This window comes from Homo sapiens, chromosome 6, assembly GCF_000001405.40.
Source record: "Homo sapiens chromosome 6, GRCh38.p14 Primary Assembly".
NCBI lineage: Eukaryota > Metazoa > Chordata > Mammalia > Primates > Hominidae > Homo > Homo sapiens.
In genome coordinates this window covers 149,420,868-149,428,317 of record NC_000006.12, presented here as the reverse complement: position 1 = coordinate 149,428,317, position 7,450 = coordinate 149,420,868, and the positions used below count along the sequence as shown (strand labels likewise).

The following is a 7,450-nucleotide window of genomic DNA, read 5'->3' as shown; positions in this document are numbered from 1 at the left end:
TGAGGCAGAATTAAAAAAAAAGAGCCTTAGGGTAGTGGTCATGCTGGAAGCCATCTTACTGAGGCCAGAAGACCCTTAGTTGTGTTCCAGAGAGGGCCCTGGGGCACACGGAGGGCGTCAGGAATGCCCTGATGAGAGGGACACTGACTTCACTGGGGTGATCTGTGGTGGCTTCCTCTGCAGCCCAGGGTTGGTGGTGGAAGGGATGGTTGCAGAGCTGTGCTCATTCACGGTCCTGCCCCACCCCACGGTGTAAAGGAGCTGTGGTGACCCAACACCAGGCTGCAGTGACCCTGGCAAGCAGCAAGACGGGAGTGGTGGAGGTGGTTATCAGAGCATGGTGACCCTAGAGGCAACATGGACGGGTGGCCAGTGGGACGCTACTTAACACCTACAACCAGAAAAAGGCAAGAGTGGAAGAGCAGAAAGCTCAGGGCAGCTGCAGCTGCCCATATAAAGTCATGAGCCTTTCCTCAGTCATGGACCAGTGTCTATTTTCAGATCTGGGACCAGTTAACTGAGGAGGTGGCCACATTCCTAGGAAGGAGGATCTCATAACACTGTGTCACATGTATCCCATACTGACCCCCCCAGTCCTCCACCAAAGGGACCCCTGGCCATTGACTCAGGTGGCTGGACGCTGGGAAGGGGCAATGCCCAGACATTTTGAGGACTGGTGGACACAGGGTCTGCACTGACACTGACACGCATGGCCCCGAGTATTTCTGCGACCCTATTGTTGGAGAGATGACTTACTGGGGTTGGGATAGTAGATGGAATCCCGGCTACAGTTTGGCTCTCAGTAGTCCACTGAGTCCGCGGTCCCACCTGTGACCATTTCTGCAGGTCCTGTCCCACACTGTGCAGGGCAGTGTGGGACAGGACCTGTGACACTTCTGTGAATGTGCAATTGGAATTGATGTATTTGGCAGCTGGTGTCGCCACTACCTGGGGTCCTCGGCCTGTGGGACTCTCTATCCCCACTCTCCCCAACCCCCATCCCCTGCCAAAAACATACATCAGAAACACCATTGCACCTCAGGAGAAATGGTGGAGATTAGTAACCCCAGGAAAGACGTAAAGGGTGAAGAGGTGGTGGTCCCATCCTATCTCCCTCCATTTCACTGACCGGCCTGGCCCCTGTGGAAACTGGACAGATCCCGGAGAGACAGCATGGACTACTGCAGGCTCAACCCAATAAAAGCTCTGATGTCAACGGCAGCGTCAGGTACTGGATTGTTAAAGCAAAATAAGAAGGCCTGAGGGACATGGTATGTAGCCTTTGAGTTGGCAAATGTATCCTTTCCTATTCTAACTGGAAGAGAGGATCAGAAAGTTTGCATTCACGTGGATGGACAACAACATTCATTTACAGTTTACCTCAGGGCTATGTTAATTCTCCTGCCCTCCCTCATAATCTAAGCCAGCGCGGTCTGAACTGCCTGGCCTTCCCACAGAACAGCGTAGGGCCCAGTGCACTGATGACTTCATGCGTGCCCATCAGGTAGGAAGAGCTAAAGGTGGCAGGTGAGCAAAGCCCAGGTAAGACGCAGGCCCACAAGCAGGTGGGAGGCAAATCCCGTGGAGATTCAAGGACTTGCCACTTCAGCGAGCTGTTCGGAGGTCCAGCGGTCAGGGGCATGCCCACATATCTGCTCCCCAAATTTAAAGACAAATTGCTGTATCTTGCACCAACGATCACACAGAAGAAAACAAAGTGCCTGGTAGGCCTCTTTGGGTTCTGGAGGCAACACATTCCACACCTAGGAACACTTCTGCAGCGCACGTACCAGGTGACATGAAAAGCTGTCTGCTTCATGTGGGCTTAGGAGCAGAAGGCGGCTCCCTCGCAGGTCCAGGCTCCCACTAAGCAGCCCTGCTGCTTGGACTGTAAGGCCCAGCCAACCTCATGGTGCTGAAGGTGCAGGTGGTAGAAAGAGATGCTGGGTAGAGCTTACAGCAAGCTCAGTGGGAGAATCCCAGCACAGATCTCGGAACTTTGGAGAAGGCAGTGCTATCCACAGCCAAGAATTAGCCTGCTTTTGAAAAGTAGCTCCTGGCATGTTACGGGACGCTGATCACAGGGTACCAAGTGGCCAGGCATCCAGAAGTGTCTACTATGAGCTGGGTTCTGCCAGATTCACAAGTCGTAAAGTTGCATGGCCCCACCATCAGTCCATTTCAGGGTGGGCATGGTACAGGCAGGATCAGGCTCAGCAGAATCAGATGGCATAAGGCTGCATGAGCGGGGGCCCCGACCCCCTGTCACTCCCAGCATCCCTTCCTCAGCTCACACTTATGGCCGTCAGGAGGGTCCTATACAACCAGTTAAGGAGGGGGACAGAGCCCAAACTTGGTTTAAGGGTGGGTCAGCTCAGCATGGGGGTGCAAGCTGAAAATGCATGGTGACTACATTCCAGTGACATGGGGTGGCCGTGAGTATCAGTGGAGGGAAAACCTTCTCTCTGGGTGGATCAATGAGCAGTGTCCCTGGCCATCCACTTTGAGTGGAAAGAGAAGTGGCTCAAGGCGAGACTATATATGGATCCCTGGGCAGATGGCCTGGCTGTCTGGTCAGGGGTCGGAAATAAATGGCCTGGCAGATGGAAGACGAGGAGGTGTTGGGTAGGGGCATGTCATGGGCACATGGGAGTGGGCACGAATATGCCTATCAGAAAGCGTCCAGCATGGAAAGCACAGAACAGCCAAGCTGGCAAAATGCCTTGGCCACTTGACACTTGTCACACTATGCTACTGACCCCCTGGAACTGGCATGAAGGATGGTGTGGCCCTGGGGGCAACGATGGAGGTGACATCTATGCCCAGCATGAACCCTCACTCACCAAGGCCAACTGAGCTGCTCCTGCCTCTGACTTCCCAGCCCGCCAGCACCAATGCCAAGCCTCTTGGTGGGATGGCTCTGCGAGGACAGCCACCCACGACTCCATTCAGTCCAGTCTACTTATGCACCACCCCCTGCGACTGCTAAGCTGGGCAAACTGCGCCCATAGAAGCCCCTTCTGTACTCAATCTCTGCTGCTGGACAGTGAGGGTGTCCGTGCCTGTGGGTAGGGCACACAGCGCCATGTCTGTGCCCAGAATTCCTGCAGGCTGCTTCCAGCCACGAACCAGCACAGTGGGTGCTGATGCAGGTCACCCACGAAGATGCTGGCCTCCTCTGACAGACAGCTGTGGCTAGAGGGCTCCCACAGCCCTTTCTCAGCCTGGCACAGCAGCCCAGGGATCTGTCTGTCTGGTCTTTCCTTCTCCCACTCCCCATGTACCCGTTCTCTCTGTGCCTCTAAAAAGGCCTCGGTGGCTGCTGCAACTGAGCTGTTTTTCAGATGTAAAAGATCCATTGCCGGCCCATTTCTCAAGGGGTGTGGGTCTGTAACAAAATTTGAAAATGTTCAAATAAAAGGCAGCCTTAAAAAGCAATTTAGCTGGCCGGGCGCGGTGGCTCATGCCTGCAATCCCAGTACTTTGGGAGGCTGAGGTGGGAGGATTACCTGAGATCAGGAGTTCGAGACCAGCCTGGCCAACATGGCAAAACCCTGTCTCTACTAAAAAAAAAAAATTAGCTTGGTGTGGTGGCACATACCTGTAATCCCAGCTACTCAGGAGGCTGAGGCAGGAGAATCGCTTGAACCCGGGAGGCAGAGGTTGCAGTGAGCTGAGATTGTGCCACTGCACTCCAGCCTGGGTGACAAAAGTGAAACTCCACCTCGAAAAAGAAAAGAAAAGAAAAGAAAACCAATTTAGCTTTGTGAGAATTCAGTATATTGTTTTTTTTTGTTTTGCTACAAATCACTGAAAAAAAATCAGTTCTGGATTGGGGATGATTTGAAGTCTGGCCTCTGAGAACCGCAGGTATAAAATGCCCTGGGCACTCCTGGTTTCCCCAGCACAGGTGGAAGTTTGCACTTACATGGTGGTAGTTGATGTGTATTTTTTCCATGTCTGCTTTGTAGATGGGCACACGTAAGTGTAAATGCCCTAACGCAGCAAATGGAGGTGGTGGGGAAGTGCCTGTTGTAGGCAGAACTTCATTCTCATGCAGCAAAGGTGATGGCTTCACTCTGGTTTTCAAACAGCCTCTTCTGAGACAGAGTTGGGAGAGGACAGCAGGAGGGCTTGGACCCCGACTGCTTCCTGCAGCCCAGAAGCCCCCGCAGTGAAGCTGTTTCTTCCTCTGCTTGGCGCTCATGTCCTATGATCAATAATCAGGCGCTTTGAAGTTGGCTGGACCTCGCTTGTGCTGTCTTTTGGAATTAATTGAAACCTTAATCCTCTGCTCTAATAGTTTCTTCTGAACTATGGAAGTAGCAGCCCTGTAAGAAAATATTTCTGAAGGGAATGCTGAAAATAGCTTAAACTTTTCTCTGTAAAGTTTTTCCCGGTGAGCAATGTTTTCAACTGAAAATGTTCCCTTGTAATTATGCCTCTGTCTGTATTTGTGCTTTTCTTTTGCTTGACTTCCATTCTGTTTATTCAGCAGTTAAGGGCCATGCCACAGTGATCAGCTGACCGAAGGACAGCCTCGTGATGTGCTTAGAAAGCAAGAAAGTGGAGCCCAAATAAAGAAACCAGATGCACGGCTTCCCTCCCAACACAGCAGTTAACGTGGAGAGGAATGATCTTTTTGAGATGCCCTCCACTCTCCCTTCCCTGTTAAAGATGGGAGAGAGAGAGAGAGAGAGAGAGAGAGAGAGAGAGAGAGAGAGAGAGAGAGATCAGATGATCAGATTTAGGAATCTATCCAACCTAAAAAAAAGAAAAAAGAAATCATCAGATGCGGCTGAGGTACCAAAATTGCGAGACGCTGCTAGTGCAGTATCTGGAGCAGAAGCCACTGGCCTTCGGGGAGTCGTGGCCCAAAGCTGTTACTTCCCATTTCCCTTTCCACCCCACCTCAACAACAGCGGCAACATCACAGACAAAATCAGTACCGAGGGCCTGAAAAGCTGATTTTTTTTTTTTTAGCATTTAGCAACATCCCTTGACTAATGAGTGTCTTTATCATATCACAAAAAGCAGAAGCCAGGAAAGCATTACGGTTTTAGGTGTATAGTTTTTAAGTAACGTTCCCTTGCATTTATTTTTTGTTTGTTATTGAGACAGGGTCTCAGTCTATCACTCAGGCTGGAGTGCAGTGGCATGATCATGGCTCACTGCAGCCTCAAACTCCCAGGCTCAAGGGATCGTCCCACGTTCAGCCTCCTGAGCAGCTGGGATGACAGGTGCGTCACCACACCTGGCTGATTAAATTTTTTTTTTTTTTTGGTACAGATGGGGTGCTGCCCACGCTGGTCTCAAACTCCTGGCCTCAAGCGATCCTCCCTCCTTGGCCTCTCAGTGTTGCGGTTATAGGCATAAGCCAACACACCTGCCTCCCTCTCATTTCAGAATTTTATTTATTCTTCTGGATTTGAGCACATGCTACTAAAGAGGGAATCTACAACGAAAATAAAGCAAGACCACTCTCAAAGCACATGGTAGCACATGGAGCAGGGTCTTCAGTGCACAGAGGGCCTCACAGCTAGTCCAGGCCCAGGGGAGCCAGGACGGTAGGTGAACACAGGGGTCTTTGTGTCTTGTTCACTGCGGTATCCCCAGAACCCAGGCCATGCTTGGCACATGGGACAGCACTCTGAGTGAAGCAAATAAAAATAAGATTTCTAAATCAAGGCTTAACTGTGGAAAGCAGAGGTGTCTGATAGTTGTCTGGGATTTGTTAGGCAGCATAAGATGCTACATAGTGAATGTGACCAGAGTTAGTTTTATATAAAAGAGAATCACTGGACATACAGTCAGTCAGCCCTCTGGATCTGCGGATTCTGCATATGTGGATCAAACATATTAGGAAGACAAACATATTAGGAAAAAAATACAATAACAGAAAAAAAGCCAGGTGTGGTGACTCATGCCTGTAATTCCAGCACTTTGCGGGAGGCTGAGGTGGGAGGATTGCTTGAGGCCAGGAGTTCGAGACCAGCCAGGGCAGCACAGGGAGACTGCACCACTGCAAAAAATGAAAAAAATTAGCCGGCGTGGTAGCATGCACCTGTGGTCCCAGCTACTTGGGAGGCTGAGGTGGGAGGATCACTTGAGCTGGGGAAATCGAAGCTGCAGGGAGCCATGATCATGCTACTGCACTGCAGCCCGGGTGACAGAGCAAGACCCCATCTCACAAAACAAAACAAAACAAAACAAATAAAGGCCAATACAGCATAACAACTATTTACAGAGCATTTCCATTGTATTGGGTATTCTAGGTAGTCTAGAGCTGATTTAAAGTGCAGGGGAGGATGGGCATAGGTTATATGCAAATACACCACCATTTTATATCAGGAACTTGAGCATCCGAGGGTTTGGTATCCATGGAGGTCCTGGAATAAAACCTCTGTGGATTCCGAGGGATGAGTGAATATTTTAATGGAAAAGATACTTGAAAATAGAACTAGAGGTGGGCAGCTCCCTGGAGAACATCTCTTTAATCCAAGCTGTGAGGAGGCCAGAGGCCATGCCTGCAGGACTTCCATCCCTGACGCTGGTGTCCCTTTATCGACCATCAAATGGTGGTTGCATGGGAGTGTGGGCACCATTAGGACAAGGCAGCTCTTTCCTACCTCAAAACAGTGATCCTCAGCAAGGACCGGAAGACCAAAGTACCAGGATGGCACGGATCTTGGTGTACATACGGCAACATTCACTTGGACACTGTCAGTGGGTCACACTGAGCCCCCTGAAAGAAAATGATGACAACACAATGCTCCTAACACAGGGTGACCACAAGCAGTTATCTTTCTCAGCATTAATTCAGTAGTGTTATGGTTGGAGAAGAAAACCATGCAGCTATGTGGTGATATATTATAGAGGAATTGGCATATATATTACTAGTATAAAGTGAGTTTTAAATAAAACCGAAGTTAGCAACAGTATGGGTAATGGAAACTATCACACAGGAGGGCATCTCGTAGCTTTGGCTTTAGATATGACGAGGTTCTGTTTCACATCTGATCATTACTAAGGGAGTACCTCGTGGGTAGCTTGTTTTGTGTTCTGCTTTTCCTCTCGTTTGTCTTTCTCATGGATGTAAACACAGTAAATGTTTCTTCTCCTAAATATTTTTAAAAACATTATTTTTATTAATTTTTTTGAGACAGGGTCTCACTCTGTCACCCAGGCTGGAGTGCAAAGGTGCAATCTCAGCTCACTGCAGCCTTGACCTCCCTGTTCTTAAGCAATCCTCGTGCCTAAACCTCCTGAATAGCTGGGACTACAGGTGTACAGGTACACTATGCCTGGCTAATTTTTTTTTCTTTCTTTTTTTTTTTTTGTAGAGATGAGGTCCCACTATATGGCCCAGGCTGGTATTTGTTCCTTTTTACTGCTGAGTAGCATTCCAGTCTGTAGACACACAAGCACCTGTTTCTCCATCCACTATTGA

General features: G+C 49.6%; 1 annotated feature.

The window, feature by feature from the left end:
* Nucleotides 2,530–3,029: an enhancer, noted in NCBI's record as "H3K4me1 hESC enhancer chr6:149746425-149746924 (GRCh37/hg19 assembly coordinates)". NCBI's record gives its function as "activates a minimal SCP1, AML or CMV promoter by ChIP-STARR-seq in primed H9 embryonic stem cells {active_cell/tissue: H9 hESC(primed)}" and the evidence as "EXISTENCE:reporter gene assay evidence [ECO:0000049][PMID:30033119]".